This window comes from Homo sapiens, chromosome 3 (assembly GCF_000001405.40).
Source record: "Homo sapiens chromosome 3, GRCh38.p14 Primary Assembly".
Taxonomy (NCBI): Eukaryota; Metazoa; Chordata; class Mammalia; order Primates; family Hominidae; genus Homo; species Homo sapiens.
This window is the reverse complement of record NC_000003.12, coordinates 127,859,882-127,878,463: the sequence shown is the minus strand read 5'-3', so window position 1 is coordinate 127,878,463 and position 18,582 is coordinate 127,859,882. Positions and strand designations below refer to the sequence as shown.

Sequence of the window (18,582 nt, the reverse complement as noted above, 5' to 3'; positions counted from 1 at the left end):
GTGTGTTTCTTAACCACATGGGAACCAAGCTGGAAGTCAATGACAAAAAGATTATCAGATAAGCTCCAACTGTTTAGAAATGAATCTACATAATATATGGGTTTAAGAAGAAATCACAAGAGACATTAGAAAACGTTTTTAACTGAATGATAACGAAAATACAACAAATAAAAAAATTTAGGATGGCTCATGCTTGTAATCCCAGGGCTTTAGGAGGCTAAGGTGGGAGGATCTCTTGAGTCCAGGAGTTCAAGACCAGCCTGGGCAACATAGTGACACCCTGTCTCTACCAAAAAAAAAAAAAAAGAAATTAGTTGGCACAGTGGTACATGCCTGTGGTCCTAGCTACTCAGAAGGCTAAGGCAGGAGGATCATTTGAGCCCAACAGTTTGAGGCTGCAGTGAGTCATGATCATGCCACTGCTGTCTAGCCTAGGCAACAGAGCGTGACCTTGTCTCTTTAAAAATATATATATATATTTATATATTATATATATTTTATAATATATATATAAATATATATTATATATAATAATATTTTTATAATATATATATAAATATATATTATATATAATAATATATATATTATATATTTTTATATATTATATATGTTTATATATATAATATATATAAATATATACATATAATTTTTATATATAAAAATATATATATATTTAAAAAGAAGGAAGATTTAAAGCCAGTAATTCAGTTATACCCCCAAGAAGCTAGAAAGAGAGGAACAAGCTAAACCACGGAAAAGTTGAAAGAAGAAAATAAAGGGCCGGGTGTAGTGGCTCACGCCTGTAACCCCAGCACTTTGGGAGGCCGAGGTGGGTGGATCACCTGAAGTCAGGAGTCCGAGATCAGCCTGGCCAACATGGTGAAACCCCATCCCTACTAAAAATACAAAACTTAGCCAGGCATGGTGGCAGGCACCTGTAATCCCAGCTACTCGGGAGGCTGAGGCAGGGAGAATTGCTTGAACCCAGGAGGCAGAGGTTACACTGAGCTGGGATAGTGCCATTGCACTGCAACCTGGGCAACAGAGCAAGACTCTGTCTCAAAAAAAAAAAAAAAAAAAAAAAAAAAGAAAAGAAAAGAAAGGGAAGATGAGGGCAGAAGTCAATGAAATGAAAAAAAGACAAACAATAGAGAAAATCAACAGAAACAAAAGTTCTTTGAAATGACTAATATAATTGATAAATTCCCTCATAACATGATAGAGAGAGAGAGAGATTAAGGGAGAAACAAACAAATCAAATTATCAATTACCAACATCTCCAATGAAAAGGGGGGCATCACTGCAGATCTTAAAGATATTAAAAGGATAACAAGGGAATATCATGAATGTATTGGAAATGGAGAAAATCCTTTGAAAAACACAACTGCATAAATCTGACAGAAGTAAAAAAAAATCTGAGTAGTCATATTTGCTAAAGAAATTAAATCTATAATTTAAGACCTTCCCACAAAGAAAACTTAGGCACAGATAGCTTCATTGGTGAATTCAACCAATCTTTTAAAGAAAAGAAATATATACCAAGCTTGCATAACTCTTAGATAAAAGAGGAAGAGATGACACTTTCCAATTCATTTTGTGAGTCTCCTATAACTCAGATACCAAAATCTGACAAGGACATTACAAAACAAAAACAAAACAAAACAAAAAACCGACATGTCATCTACGTCTCATGAACATAGAGGCAAAATTCCTAAACAAACTATTAGCAAAATCAAATCCGGAAATATATGAAAAGGATTATATATCATAACCAAGTGGGGTTTATCTTAGAAATGCAAAGTTGATTTAATCTTTGTAAATCAATTCACTATGTTAACAGAAATAAGGAAAAAACCCAAATGATTATCTAAATAGAGAAAGCAGCTGACAAAATTAAACCCTGTTTATGGTATTCTTTCATTCAACAAATAATTATTAAATGCCTACAAGGGGTCAAAACAAAATATCTCATCCTTCTGGAGCTCACACTAGTGGAGAGAGAGAAGAGAAGCAAAAACACAGATAAGTGTACAGTGTGACATCAGCTAGTGACAAGGGCTGTGGGGAAAAGTAAACCAGGAGAAATGCAGGTCGATGGTCTCGGAAACCCTCTATAAGAAGGTGACATTTTATCAGGAACCTGAATAACATGAGTATCTTAGGCTGCCATAACAAATTACCACAAACTTAGTGGCTTAAACAACACAAATATATTATCTTACAGTTCTGAAGCTCAGAAGTCCAATGAGGGTATTACCCGGCCATGATCAAGGTGTTGGCAGGACTGCATTCCTCTCTGGGCTTCTGGGGGAGGATCCATTTACTGCCCCGCTGCGTCGTTGGCAGAATTCAATTCCTTGCATTTTAGGACTCAAGCCCCATTTCCTTACTGGCTGTCAGCTGAAGGCCATTCCCAGATTCTAGGGGCTGCCAGGTTCCCTGGCTTATGGCTCATTTCTTCCCTCTGCAAAGTTGACAATGGCGGATGGAGTCCCTCTCATGCTTTGACTCAGTCTCTCTCCAATTAGTGTCTACTTTCTGACTTAGCCAGGAAGATTTTCTGCTTTTTCTGTCTTCAAGGATTCATGGTTACATCGGGCCCACCCAATAATCCTGAATCAGCTCCCCAGCTTGCCTGCCACAAAATAGATAGGAGGGAGGGAGGCATGTGGCTCTCTGGGGAGAGGGTATTCCAGGCAGAGGGATGCAAAGTGCAGACTCAGTCAGGGCCACTGTGTCTGGGGAGGCTGAAGCACAGGGGTGAGGGTGAAGCAGCAGGAAGTGAGGCTGAGGAGCCTGTTGGGAGCCATTCAAGCACCTCTCTAGGCAGATTTGCTGGCATTTTCATTCATCTGTAGCTGTTTGTTGAGTATTACCAAAGGCCAGTGTGGAGCCAGGGGCTATGTGAAATGTGGGGTGAAGTGAGCAGGCAGTCTGGGTTTCCATGGGGTCACACTGTGGATAGGCAGTACTGGAGCAGCTTGCTTCTTACCGTTGTAAAGGTCATGCACCACACAGGAGCTGAATTGTTGGAGTCCCCACCTCAGGACTTCAGAAAGTAACTTTACTTGGAGATAAGGTCTGTACAGAGATGAGCTGACATGAGGTTCTCAGGATGGGCTCTAATCCAATGATTCATGTTCTTTGCAAAGAGGAAATTTTGACCCAGAGACAGGCACCCCAAAAAGAAAGATGATTGTGAAGACACAGGGAGAAGATGGCCATCTGCAAGCCAAGGAGAAAAGCCTGGGATGGGTTCTCCCTCACAGTCCCCAGAAGGAACCAACCCTGTGACATCTTGATCTGGGACTTGTGGCCTCCAGCATCATGAGACAATAGATTTCTGCTGGTTAAGACTCCCTGTCTGTTACAGCAGCCCAAGCCGACTCATCCATAATACACAGGGGGCCTGGCAGAGGGCAGCAGGGGCCTGGGCTCCCTCTCCAGGCCCTGCACCTGGAGGAAATGGGTGCTTTGAGAGCTTCACACAGAGGAATCATCACTCGCCAGGCTGTGCCATGCAGGGAGATGTCTACCTGGAATTGTTATAAGTTCATAAAGTGCTCTAGGTCATCTGGGGTTCATCCTGCTTTCGCCCACCCAGTATTTGTTATCCACTTGTCCCTCACTAATATGATCTTAATTTTATTCTGGGCAACAATGTACTAAAATTAAAAAAAAATAGAAACCAAACCAAACCAACAGAGACATGTATTTCCTGGCTTCCTCTGCAGATGAAGATGCCTTGTGACTAAGATCTGGTCTGTGGGCTCGAAGTAGAAGTTGGATGGGAAAGAAGTCCCTTAAACATGGGATGACTTGGCCAGGCATGGTGGCTCACACCTGTAATCCCAGCACTTTAAGAGGCCAAGGTGGGCAGATCACGAGGTCAAGAGATGGAAACCATTCTCGCCAACATGGTGAAACCCTGCCTCTACTAAAAATACAAAAATTAGCTGGGTGTGGTGGCGCACACCTGTAGTCCCAGCTACTCGGGAGGCTGAGGCAACAGAATCACTTGAACCTGGGAGGCAAAGGTTGCAGTGAGCTGAGATCATGACACTGCACTCCAGCCTGGGGGACAGAGCAAGACTCCGTCTCAGAAAAATAAAAAATACAAAGGGGATGACTCAGCCAGACTTCTTCCTCCTGTTGCCACTCCCAGTAGCTATCTTAGATGTGTAAGGGTATGGATCACACCCGAAAGACCATAGAGTTCTCAGTGGCATTGCAGAGCTGTTATGCCAGCCCTGGACTGCTTCTGGCAGGCTGGGGGAAATGCACCCTTGTCTTTTTTTTTTGAGACAAAGTCTCATTCTTCTCACCCAGGCTGGAGTGCAATGGCGCCATCTTGACTCACTGCAACCTCCACCTCTCGTGTTCAAGCGATTCTCCTGCTCCAGCCACCTGAGTAGCTGGGGTTATAGGCGCCCACCACCATGCCTGGCTAATTTTTTGTATTTTTAGTAGAGATGGGGTTTCACCATGTTGGTCAGGCTGGTCTCTAACTCCTAAACTCAGGTGATCCACCCGCCTCGGCCTCCCAAAGTGCTGGTATTACAGGCGTGAGCCACTGCCCCCTGCCCCCTTGTCTCTTCTAAGCCACTGTTTTCCTAACTGATTCAGACTACAATCCTTACTTCACAAAAGTATTCTACACAATTGTCCAGAATTCCCAAATTCATGGCTGCCTGCTAACATAGCATTTCTTCTTGAAGTGTGAGATAAATGATTTTGTAAGCTGTAGAAAAAGACCAGGGACTACCAGCCAGGTAATCTTGGGCAATTCACTTAATCTTTAGTCTCTTCTGCAAAATGGCGATAGTGATGGTTCCCATCTTTTAGAGACGTGATGTTGCAAAGGCATCTAAGGCTCTTAGAATAGGCCTGAACACCTGGGAAAAACAAGAGAAGTTATTTCTTATTATTGTTGCTCCCTAACTAACATTGAGAACAGTTTCCTTTGAGACCATTTCTCTCATCCTATTCAAGTAGTGTCTAATTCCAGGCCAAGTTCTGGATTGGAGCAGTGATGGCAGACAATCTAATCATTTATGTAAGCATCAATAAGCACACGTGCTAAGCCAAGGTCCCAGTATTGGTCAATTTTCCCTGAATTTGGGTTTTCATAATAACGCCAACTAAAGCTGATCAAGGTCAGGATGTGCAAGAGATGTTTTGTTGTCATGGTCTCCCGGGGGCAAGGCTGCTCCTGGGCTCTGAAGGCTCCATGGTAGAATGTTACCAATGCACACAGAGTCTCCTGGGCCAAGCCACGTGAATCAAACTGCCCAGAGCCTTTTGTGTAAATCAGTAATCTCCAATGGGGTCCATGCCTTCTCAGGGCCTGACACCCTAGTTTTGCTCTCAACAAACACTAAGAAACTGAATTAGAAATCCAGAGTCGTCGGTGAGCATAGAGCAAATCAATAAGAAGTGGATTATCTTGTGAGGGCAGGGATTTGTGTTCATGCCATTCAGTCTTATATCCTCAAAGCCTAGAACAGTGCCTTGCTCATAATAGGTGCTCATCCAATATTTGCTTGACAAATGAATGAATGGAGGGTCAGAAACAAATAGTGACAGCTCATCTAGGCCAGCAGCATGCAGCTTAACATGCCAGTTCCATGCCTGTGATAATACCACAGCTGGAGTTTATTTGGTAAAAACTATAATACAAAGTTCCTAACTTATGTTTGCACTAACTTCTGCAAATTTATTTGAATCACAGTATCCAAAACCACTAAGTCTGAGTATACTTAGGGTGAATATATATATAAAATGTGGCCAGGTGTGGTGGCTCATGCCTGTAATCCCAGCACTTTGGGAGGCTAAGGCAGGTGGATCACCTGAGGTCAGGAGTTCGAGACCAGTCTGACCAACATGATGAAACCCTGTCTCTACTAAAAATACAAAAATTAGCCAAACGTGGTAGTGGGCGCCTGTAATCCCAAGTACTCTGGAGGCTGAGGCAGGAGAATTGCTTGAACCCTGGAGGCGGAGGTTGCAGTGAGCTGAGATCATGTCACTGCACTCTAGCCTGAGCAACAGAGAGAGATTCTGTCTCAAAAAAAAATGTATTATGAAAAATGTATCATTAGATTCTATTGGCTGCAGTTAACAGAAAGCATAAAAGCATAATTTGGAATTTTTTTGTCGTTTTTTTTTTGAGACAGGGTCTCACTCTGTTGCCCAGGCTGGAGTGCAGTTGTGCAACTGTAGCCCACTACAGCCTTGAACTCCTGGGCTCAGGTGATCCTCCTGCTTCAGCCTCCTGAGTAGCTGGGACTACAGGTGTGAGATACCTGGCTTTTTTTTTTTTTTGGTAGAAATGGGGTCTCACTATGTTTCTCAGGTTTCCCAGGTTAAACAAAATGAGACTCCCATGTTGAGCCTGGCCAAGACAGTGATTCTTATTTATCTGCCTCTCTAAGACCTTTCTACTTGGTCTTCTTTCTGAATTGACAGACTTTTCTCAGTCCATGGGTGACAGGCAGAACTTCTGTAACTGACTCAATAAATTGTGTTATCCTTCAAGTAAGACCTGGTCTACAGGATACAACTCAAACAGGTAACAAACAATACCTACCCACATGCACCCACAGCATCCACACAACAGACATTACACATACGTCACAATGGTGGGTCCTTCTGCAAAAATCTCGTGCAAAAATATGAGCCCTTAAGGTGTATTTGCTCAAATGTTCTCTGCTGTTGTCTTAATGGTGTTTCAGTAACAAATCACCCTGAAACAGTGGTTTGAAAAGTAGCAAAAGTTGATTTTGACTGTGAGTCTGGAGTTAACAGGATCAGCTGAGCAGTCCTTGCTTAGGGTTTCTTATGAGGTTGTAACCCGTGGCTGCCTGGGGCTGGGGTTAACTTGAAAGGTTCTTTAGTCACATCTGGCACCCTGACTGGGGAGATGGAACAGCTGGGACTCCCCAGGCATCTCTCTGTGTCTCTCTCCTGCATCTCCATGCGTGGCCTCTCCAGCATGGCCGCCTCAGCACAGCCGGATTCCCGACATGGCACCTGAGGCCTTCAGCCACGGGTGACCTGCGAACCTCTGCGTCTGCTCTTCAGTATCCCATGGATCGGAAGAGGAAAGGAAACTTGTGAATGCTCAGGTTAATAGGGGGCGGCCGAGACCATGGCAGTCGAAAATCCACGTAATGAAGCTGAAAGCCTCCAGCAAGGCATCCAGTATACACGATGTGAGACATCTGCATCCTGTCGGGTTTTCATACTGACATGCTACTTTTTGAGGCATGAGCCCTGACTTCTCCTGGCAGGGCTGGAATGGGGTAAATCTGGGCCCCCTGAGAATTTGGGAGCTGACGATGACCACAGGGGGAGGCAAGATAGGAAGTGGTGTGGGCTCCAGCTGCCTGAATCTAACTCCCAGCTCAGCACTATCTCTGTGGCCTCTCAAGGAAATTTCTCAAACCCTCTTAGTCTCCTTTCTCTCCACTGAAAAATGAGGGTCATGGTAGCACCTACCTCATGGTTTTCGTGAGGAATACATTAGGTAACTCATCAAATTACTTAGAACATTTTTATCACAGAGTAATGCCCCAAAACTGTTAGTTATTATTAACATTTGTTTAACATCTTAAAATTTTTGCCATGAAGCATAGGATTTTTATTGACAAGATTTTGGCCCAATGTTCCCAACTCTCAGAAAGCGATGATGAGAGTATCCATGAGTAGACACGAATAGAGAGAAGAATAAAAATGTTCAGATTGGTTCGACACAAAGACAATTCTCCTTTAGCAATTATGAAGCTATAAAAAGAATGAGAGCAGCATTAGTCTTCTCAACACATTTCCAAAACAAGTTGGCTCAAGGATAAATTACAGTACAGACAAGTACTAAGTACCCTGGAAGCTACCTCCTTTGCACATCCCTATGAAAGTTTCAGGGCTGAATGCATTTTTTGGCAGCAAGAAAATCTGCCAAGCAGGAGTGTGAAAATTGAAATTACCAAGACTGGAACAAAGGCAAACACATTTCACCATTTTAAGGAGGCATCAAGGTTGAGCTTTGCAGCTGTTGTCCTGTATAAAAGAAAATACCAGCCCCTGGCTAGAAAAAAATGGAACATAATTATGTTATGATGAGCTGGGGGGAAATGGAAAAGGAAAATTGTAATGCAAAGCATGATGGATGCTGTTTTGTCGATCTGAACTGCTGGAATGCAGCAGTGGAGCGAAGCGGCATAACGACTCTTTCTTCACTTCCAATTTGGCAGGCAGAAAAGCAGCAACACACCACATCATTTTGTATTTTTTTTCTTAACATAATTATGTCAGATTTGTAGAATGGATCGTAGGGTCATCGGTAATGAAAATAAAACGGATATACCACTTTGAGGCAAAAAGCTGTAGTTCTCTTGAGTAGAGGTTTCTTGTTGCTTATTTATATTTTGAAAATTACGTGGAGGTCTTCTCTTAAGGTCATTTACACGATGGCAAACTATCCATCTTTGAGAACATGGCTTCTAGTAGTATGGATTTATTTACATCAAGTCAGGGCTGATCACATTTTAAATCATGATTTATTTCACAGTCGGGGAGACTCAACTCAAAGCATTCATCAAGGAGACTCAATTTGCTGTTTGTTGTGCAGCAGGTACAGTCTAGTGGCTTGGTTTCACGGCAAGTTAATGGGTGCGCTTCACAGAGCAGAAGATGTAGTATGTTTTATGCACTCTTTGAATTAACATATTTTCTTCTAATAATTTTATAACTGAATCAGAAATCTGAGTGATGATTCAGATATTTTAAACAAATTATTTGAAGCACATGCTTTAAATTTTAATTAATGGGGGATTAATCATTTCTAATTTAACAGATAACTGATAACCATGGATATATGGAGAATATATTTGCCATGCCACATTAAACAAAAACAAGTAATAACCCAAAGAAGGGATATCTGAACCATTTTTATTTAACAGAAATAACAAACAAACATATATTAAATTTGCAGGTTTAAAAAGTAACTTTGAAGTCAAGCATGTGCGATAAATTGGCAGCTGACAGACTGAGGCACAGAGGTCAGTTAGGACATTGTTTCAGTGGTTCAGGAACAAGCCAAGGGGCACCTGAGCCCAGGCAGTGGCAGTCAGTTGGAAGCAACAGGACAGCCTTGATGGACAAAGAAGAAAGACGTTGGAGTAGTGCAGGTGGGGAGCCCTGGAACAAGTCTTTGGATTTAAGACTGGATAGGATGTAAGACTGCATTCCGACTAAACTTTGTGTCTAATATCATTTTTCTTCACTAATGGCTTCTACTGCACTTAAAACTGAACTCATTATTATGACAGTACTTGAGGATTCTGAGTGTCCAGTGCCCGTTATTAATACATTGTTTACTGAGTGCTTCTCCCCCTTCATGCGAGGTCTTTTATCAGTTCATTTAGAACTGCAGACTTTTAAAAAAATCATATAATCATAGTTTTATTAACTATTTGCATATAAATTACTCACAGTTTATATGTATAAAAATTCATTTGCATATAAAACATTGCTGGGAGAAATTAAAGATCCACATAAATGGAAAAATATACTTATGAGTTGGGAGACTTGATGCAAGTTAAAATGTCAGTTCTCCCCAGATTGATCTATAGATTTAATCTGATTCCAATCAAAGGCCAGTAGACTCTTTTGGCAAAAATGAATGAATTCTAAAGCTAGAATTAGTGAATGCTTTTTTTTTTCTTTGAGACAGAGTCTCACTCTGTTGCTTAGGCTGGAGTGGGTGGTGCAATCTCAGCTCACTGCAACCTCTGCTTCCTGGGTTCAAGCGATTCTCGTGCTTCAGTCTCCCGAGTAGCTGGGATTATAAATGTGCACCTCCATGCCCAGCTAATATTTTGTGTTTTTAGTAAAGATGGGATTTTGCCATGTTGGCCAGGCTGGTCTCAAACTCCTAGCCTCAGGTAATGCGCCTACCTCAGCCTCCCAAAGCTGAAAGACTCACACAGTCTGATGTCAGGATCTCCTAGAAAGCTAAGTAATCAGGAGACAGCATGGTATTGGCATAGGCATGAACAAATAGATTATTGGAATAGACCAAAGTCCAGAAATAGACTCACAAGTAGTCAATGAATTTTTCAACAAGTGACACTGGGACCCAATTTTGAAAAATAGGCAAAAGGCTTAGACACTTCAAAAAGAGTAAATACAAATGACCAACAAGCCCATGAGGAAATGCTCACTCACATCATTAGTTGCCAGAGAAATGCAGTTTGAAACCACAATAAGGCTCCATCCTACACCCAACAGAATGACTAATATAAAAAAGACCTACAAAACCATGTTTACAAGGATGTGCAGCAACTAGAACTCTCATAAATGTTTTGTGAGAGCTCTAGTTGCTCCACATAAATGTCATAAATGTCTTGTACCATCAAATGGCATAACCACTTTGGAAAACTGATGGTTTCCTAAAAGTTAAATATATACCTACCCAGAGATTCCACTTGTAGGTTTTGCCCAAGTGAAACAAAAATATATGTTCACAATAAGACACACACAAAATAGTAAAAAACTTGAAACAACGCAAATGTCCAGCAATAGAATAGACAATTTGCAGCAGTCCATACAATAGACGACTAATCAGTAACAGAAAGGAACAAACTACCGACATATACAACAAACTACTGATATTGTGAATCTCAAAAATACCATGTTTAGCAAAAGAAGCTAGACACAAAAGAGTACACGTTGTATGATTCCATGTATATGAAGTTCTAGAACAGGCAGAATAATCTATAGTAACAGTATCAGAAAAGTGGTTGCTTGGAGTGGGAGGGTTGACTGGAAGTGGGCACAAGTGAATTCCTGGGGTGATCAAGACATTCTGTACCTTGATTGAGTGTTGGTTACATGGGTATAGATATTAGTCAAAATGCATTGAATTGCTCACTAAGATCTGCACACATTTCACTGTACGTAAAATTTACCTCAGTAAAAAAAAAAAAAAATGCAAAATTCCCCAAGGAATCATAGTTGCTTCTAATATTTACATATAAAATGTCTTTAGAAGTCTTCTAGTCAAAATCTCGCATTACTAATTTAGGGAGCACTAATACAATTCCATATATAAAAACTAAGAAAATGTGGGTGTGGCTGAGGCTGTTATTTCAAGGAAATCTTGAAAACGTTGTTAGTAATCATTTGTAACTACATGTCAATGTCTTCCAATTGGCTGGTGAGAAACCTTAAAATCTCACTTCTCCCAGCCAGTATTTCCAGGGTGTAGTAAGGGAGCAGGACTTAGAATTCTCTTGGTCATTCCCGACTTTTTAAGTCCCTGCTTCCACTGATCTTTTGTCTGTGTTCTAGAACACAGATCTAGATTTTGCTTTCTTTGCTTTGTCCACACTGCTTCTTTTTCTTAGGGCAATACTCATAAAACCAGCATGATTATTTCACTTTTCCAAGGACCACTGATTCAAGGTCCAATTCAGAGACTCTTTGAAAATGTTAAGCAGCGGGGCAGTTTAATATTGCAGCATAGCACATTGAATCATAAACATACTTCCGTGGAGCTTTTATTGCCTTTTTTCTTCTTTTTTTGAGACAGGGTCTCGCTGTCACCCCTGCAGGAGTGCAGTGACGTGATCTTGACTCACTGCAACCTCCGCCCCCAGGTTCAAGTGATCCTCCCACATCAGCCTCCTGAGTAGCTGGGATTACAAGTACACACCACCATGCCCGGCTAATATTTTGTATTTTTAGTAGAGACACAGTTTTGCCATGTTGCCCAGGCTAGTCTTGAACTCCTAAGCTCAAATGATCCTCCCACCTAGGCCTCCCAAAGTGCTAGGATTACAGGCGTGAGCCACCGTGCCCGGCCTCATTTTTTACATTTGATACCCAATCTCTGGCCACATAGCTGGGCCCCCTCTTGTCTACTTTGAATATTTTTCCCATCTCTTCTTTAGTTTGCTGCAATCCCCAATGCTCCTTCTTATTTCATAGTTTCTTTTTTCACTAATCTGGGATAGGCCCTGAAATCTGACTTTCAACATATCAAATAGTCCACTAAGGTATTTTGCTGAGACCCCTGAAAGGAATTTTAAGCTAATAAATATGCTCCTCTTCACGTACTCCCACACAAGGAAATATAGAACATTCTCACAAAGACCTTCCCATTTGAAGGAGAATGGGTGGACAGTGTGAATAATGCAGCTCTGGGGAGAAAGAAGGAAAGCTTTGCGAATGGAAAATCTCATGTATCACCACCAGGTCGTAGAAGAGGCCAGAAGGACTTTCTAGGATTCTTTGCTATGTGGAGCGAATGACTCACAGCCCATAGGAGTGAAGCACACCCTGTGAGGGTGGGTGTTCCAGACGTGACAGTGATGAGTGCTCAGAACAGACAGCAGGGTCCAGCCCCCAGCTGGCTCAACACTGCCCCCACCCCTACCCCCATGCCCTCAAGTCACATGAAATTTAGTAAAAGGCAACTCTTACTCTACATATTGGGGCTCAGGGGGAAGACAAATGAGTGTCAGATCAAGTGGACAAAATATCAAGGAGATACTTCTCCATGCAAGAGCAGAGCAAAAAGGAGATCCGGGCAGATGGGAACCATCAGAAGCATGTGTAAGATAAAAAGAAATGGCATGCAAATATGAAAGCCCATAACAACAAAAATGCATACAGTATTGCATAGAAATAACAAAGAACCCAATCTGGATGAAAATATAATCTAAAAAACAGAAGTAAACTTCCAAGTGTGTTTCATGATATGAAAGAACTAAAAAGAAGTATATGAACTGAATAAACTAGCTTAATGCTAGAACAAGCAGAGATGAGAAAGAAAGCAGCAGAGAAAAGGAACAATAAAGAAACTTCAAACACAGAGATTAATAAATAACGTAGGAAGAGCAAGAAATCAAACATACATGGCTGGGGAAAATGCTGATAGAGAAAAGATTTCAGAAAATCACAGTAATTGCAGAGGAGAAATACCAGGAGACTAAAGCAATTAAGGAAAAGATGACAGATTTGAAGGGATAACCACATAAAGATAATTAGAGTTCTGCAAATACGGAACCCAAGACATTGACCAGAAACAATATTCACATATAAAAATGAGTAAAAGATCCCTGTAATGGGGGAAAAATAAAACTCGTTTAAAGGGGTACACAGTGTTTGGGGGCAGATTACACAGAACAATCAATACCTTTAACCTGGTTAAGCTACTAAACTTTAAGACTAAAGACAGAATTCTTCAGGCATTCAGGTAGATAAACAAGTAATTTATAAGGGACAAAAATCAGCCTTGGATTTCTCTACAGCAGCATTCAATGCCAGTAAACACTGCAGTAGAGTAATGCTGGTAATGTTCTGAGGGGCAGAAAGTGAGATTCAAGTAATTATAGCCAGCCAAAGAGTTCTTCAATAGAAAGGAAACAGGAAGTCATACTCAAACATGGAAGAATTTAAGAAATATCGCATATGGCACTTGTTTAAAAAATGACTTGACTATAAATAGAACCAATGATGAGATTAAATTTTTTCATTAATAATAGTGGATAAAATACAATTTAAAAAGAAGGCCATAGTTATGTCATATAATCACAGAAATAGTAAACTCATATGAACACCACAAAAACTAAGCAACTGGGCTGGGTACAGTGGCTCACACCTGTAATCCCAGCACTTTGGGAGGCCAAGGCAGGCAGATCACTTGAGGTCAGGAGTTTGAGACCAGCCTGGCCAACAATGGCGAAACCCTGTCTCTGCTAAAAATACAAAAATTAGCCGGGTGTGGTGGCACGTGCCTGTAGTCCCAGCTACTTGTGAGGCTGAGGCAGGAGAATCACATGAACCCAGGAGGTGGAGGTTGCAGTGAGCCGGGATAGCACCATTGCACTCCAGTCTGGATGACAGAGCAAGACTCCGTCAAAAAAACAAAAACAAAAACAAAAAATTAAGCAACTGGAGAATGTTTATTGAATTAAGTGTAAATATTATAAAACTTGACAAAATAGAAATTAAATACAGCTAATAAAAATGCTGGTGAAGAAAACAAGTGTAAGAATATAATTTCATATTTCATAGCAGAGAATCAATAGTTTTGGGGTCTTTTTTTTTTTTGAAATTGACAACAGTGAAGAGAGGTGACTTGTTCCATCAAACACTGAAACATTAAAATGCCTCCACAGAAGTTAAAACAATGTGCTACTGAAGGAAGAATGGGCAACTAATTCACTGGAACAGAATGGAGTCCGTAAACCAACCTATGTTTATATGGGAATTGGGTGTACATAAGGTATGTCACGTGAAATCAACGGGATTATTTAATAAATTATTTTAGAAAAAAGTCTAGATATTAAAAAAAGATAGTATCTTAAAATATATAACACAAGAAACCCTTAATATTTTAAAATTATAAGAGGTTAAAAAGGGGAAATAAAAGAAAAAATAAAAAGAAGAAATTATAAGCAGTTTCTGAGTAGGGAAAGGACTTTACCATATGATGCTTTATCATATGAAGAAGAAGAAAAATAAAATGGTGTTAAAATTGACTACTTGAAATTTTAAACGTTTGTATGTGAAAAACCACCAGAAAAATGATTAAAATTAAATATGGACTGGGAAAGCTTTGCATCATATATAAAATTGACAACTAATATCTTCCATATGTGAATAACTTCTACAGTTCAGTAAGAAAATGAAGGAATAGGCCGGGCACGGTGGCTTATGCTTGTAATCCCAGAACTTTGGAAGGCTGAAGCAGGTCGATCACCTAAGCTTAGGAGTTCGAGACCAGCCTGGGCAACATGGTGAAACCCTGTCTCCACAGAAAAAAAAAAAAAAAAAAAAATTAGCCAGGTGCTGTGGCATGCGCATGTAATCCCAGCTATTTGGGAGGCTGAGGTTCAAGAATCACTTGAACCCAGGAGGTGGAGGTTACAGTGAGCCGAGGTGGCACCACTGCACTCCAGCCTGGGCGACAGAGCAAGACCCTGTCTCAAAAAAAAAAAAAAAAAGAGAGAGAGAAAATGAAAGAACAGATCAGTCACAAAAAGAAGGAACAAAAATACTTTCTTTTACTTGAAGATAAATGCATATTTAAAAATACCTGTGAAATACCAGGTCTGTTTTGCTTTTTCCATAAAATTTTAAAAAATTGGATAAAACACAAGGTAGGTGAAGTTTCAGGCAATGGGCACTATAAAGTAGCACAAATTTTTTATTGTTTTTGTCGTTTTGAGACAGAATTTCGATCTTGTTGCCCAGGCTGGAGTGCAGTGGCGCCATCTCGGCTCACTGCAACCTCCGCCTCCCGGGTTCAAGCGATTCTCCTGTCTCAGCCTCCTGAATAGCTGAGATTATAGGCGCCCACCACCACACCCAGCTAATTTTTGTATTTTTAGTACAGATGGGGTTTCATCATATCAATGAGGCTGGTCTCAAACTCCTGACCTCAGGTGATCTGCCCCCCTCGGCCTCTCAAAGTGCTGAGATTACAGGCGTGAGCCATCGAGCCCAGCCAGTAGCACAATATTTTGTGGGGAGACAATTTGGCAGTTCATTGTATCAGAACCTTAAAAAGGCCAGGCACAATGGCTCATGCCTGTAATCCCAGCACTTTGGAAGGCTGAGGCGGGCAAATCACCTGAGGTCGGGAGTTCGAGACCAGCCTGACCAACATGGAAAACCCCATCTGTACTGGGCGTAGTGGCACATGCCTGTAATCCCAGCTACTTGGGAGGCTGAGGCAGGAGAATCTTTTGAACCCGGGAGGTGGAGGTTTTGTGGTGAGCCAAGGTCGCACCATTGCACTCCAGCCTGGGCAACAAGAACGAAACTTCATTTAAAAAAAAAAAAAACCTTAAAAACTATACAGACCCTTTATGCAACAATTTTACCTTCAGGAATTTATCCTAAAGAAATAATTGCCAAGGCAGGAGGATCACTTGAGGCTAGGAATTCAAGGCCAGCCTGGGCAACATAGTGAGACTCCACCTCTACAAAAAATCAAATAAATTATCTGGGCAATTATCCAAGCATGGCAGTGCATGCTTGTGGTCCCAGCTACTTGGAAGACTGAGGTGGGAGGATTGCTTGAGCCCAGGAGTTTGAGGCTGCAGTGAACTATGATAGCACCACTGCACAATACTCAATTATTTGTTATTTTTCAGATTTTTGCCAATCTGATAGTTGAGAAACATCAGAATTACATTTTCTTCTCTATGGATCCACTCATACCACTTAGTATATTCATTTATTCAATAAATATTTATTCAAACATTTATCGAACATCTACTATGTACAAGGACACTGTTCTCTTCTAGGCTTTTGGGCTATATCCATTACAACAGAGATGAAGGTCCCTGCCTTCTTATAAAAAACATAAAATAACAGCAATGTTAAAGTGTTTTAAACTAACTTTTATTTATACCTTTGTCTCAAAAGATGCAAGCTACTGTTGATGAAGGGGAAAAGGTTTTTTATGATAGCTGACTGTATGGCATCATAGGAAGGACACTGAACTTGGAATTAAGAAACTTAGACCTGAGCCTGAGCCTTGCCTTTCACTAGCTGTGTAATGTTAAGTAATTCACTTAAATATCACTTGGTTTTATTTCACTATAAAGTGAGGGGGAATTGGACCAGATGGTTTCGGCAGTTCTTCCGCTCTATTGGGATGTGGCTCTATGTTAAACTATTGTACACTGAGACCAAAATGATTAATCTGAGATATGACCCCAAAAGATGTGTAAATGAGGTGCCCACTGATGAGAAATAGAGACCTGTTTGAGGGTGCGGGATCTTGATTTGAACCTCAAAGTCATTAATAGTACAAATGTTACCTTCCTATGTCTCTCCTGTGCTGTGGGTCACATTGCCTCTTATCTGACAGGGTCAGCTTCTGAGGACTGTCTGTGACCAGGGTCTGTTTCATTACTATGCTTTACTTTAATGAGACAAAGGTATTGAAAAAATTTTCAAATGTGAAATGAAAGAAAGCAAAAAATAATTATTTTCAATGTAAAATAATGTTTTGTTTCCAAGAAGATCTCCTACATGGTTTTTTAAATTTTAAAATCTCCTAGTCATTTTTGTAAAATTAAACAAGATACAGGTTACACGCAGCTTTTCCTAGAGGTGATACCTCTGCTCAAAGGCTGTATGATTTGGCCAGATATTGCCAAACTCCCCTCCATGGTGGGTAGTAGCATTCTGCATTCACACCAGCGATATCTGAGTGTGCCTGTCTCCCCACAGCCTCATCACAGAATACATTGGTTTCCTAGTGTAATTTCAATTTGCACCACTCATGTGATGACCAAGGTTGAGGTTCCAGACCCTTTTTGTTGGTTCCTTATTAGAGCACTTTAGATGGAGATGGGGAGTTTTACTTGCTCTAACGGGGGATCGTGGCCTAGTGTAATAACTCATAGGTATGCTTGATGCAGACCAGTGTGCAGGTGAGTAATACCTTGGATCCTGAAAAGTCATAGAAAATTATGGTTTTGTTCATGCTGCTTTTTGGAGAGTGGGTTGGAATACTTTTGATTTTTCTTCCCATCTTACCATGAACAAATTCTCCAATCCTTTGAGGTACACCTCAACTGTCACTCCCTCTATTTAAACTCCTCATCACCTCTTTCCAGATTAATCTCTCTTTCACAAAACACTCAACCTTGACCTTTCTTATGGCTCTCACTGTTTGTTTCATGGAGTCTCCTTTTCTGGACACATCTCGTCTCTCACCGGCTGTGAGCTCTGTGAGGGCTGCTGCAGCCTTTGCCTATTCAGCTATTCCAGAGCACCTTGCATGAAGCAGGAGCTCAAACTGTTGGGGCAGGGACTGCAGAAAAGAGGGAGGGGCTGAAATGTCACAGCCGTGTCTGTCTGGGGAGTCTTGTGTGGTGATAGCTGCATCTCAGGCATGCATTTATTCTCCTAAGCAGTGAGACTATCCACTAACATCCACGGGAAACATATCATTAACCTTCCAGGGGAAACCCCCTCTGAAGCAAGCAGAAAGCCACCTGCTGGGAATGGCACACAGCATGGGGGTTGAAGAGGTATGCGAGGTTAGGAATATAGGAACCAGAAGTCTGATCTATATGGAAAATAGCAGCTCATTAGCACGTGTTAAGCATGGGCCAGGGTGGGTCCCCTGTCAATGCTGCTGGGTGTTTGGTCGCTGGGCGGGACCCACCCCACTGTGGCCAGTCTTGACAGGCTGTTGGCTTGGCAGGCGTGGGGGAGCCCTCCTGTTTCCTCAATGATAAAATGACACCGTCTCTTCATTCTCACCCATGCATCTTCAGATTCCTTTTTTTCGGAACCCATATTCTGCAAGAACACCTCTGGTTTTTACTGTTTTTCAAACAGGCTTCCCTGCCGGGAAGAAAATTTGGCAACCCGTTGACAGGAATATTGCCGTACACTTGGCAATTACATTCAGTTTAAAAAAAATAGTGCTTATTTTGTCAATTATAAAAATAATACATACTTATAATAGAAAATTGGGAAGCATTAAAAACTAGAAAGGAAGAAATAATTATCCATGACTTCACTGCCTAGAACACCCACTGTTAA

The 18,582-nt window shown here is 41.1% G+C and overlaps 1 long non-coding RNA gene across 3 annotated transcripts in view; it reads left to right on the top strand.

Annotated features, from left to right (window-relative positions):
- The window catches only part of LOC107986129 (uncharacterized), a 90,956-nt gene that overhangs the window by 44,787 nt on the left and 27,587 nt on the right, over positions 1 to 18,582 (top strand). The gene's annotated exons all lie outside the window — the stretch shown is intronic.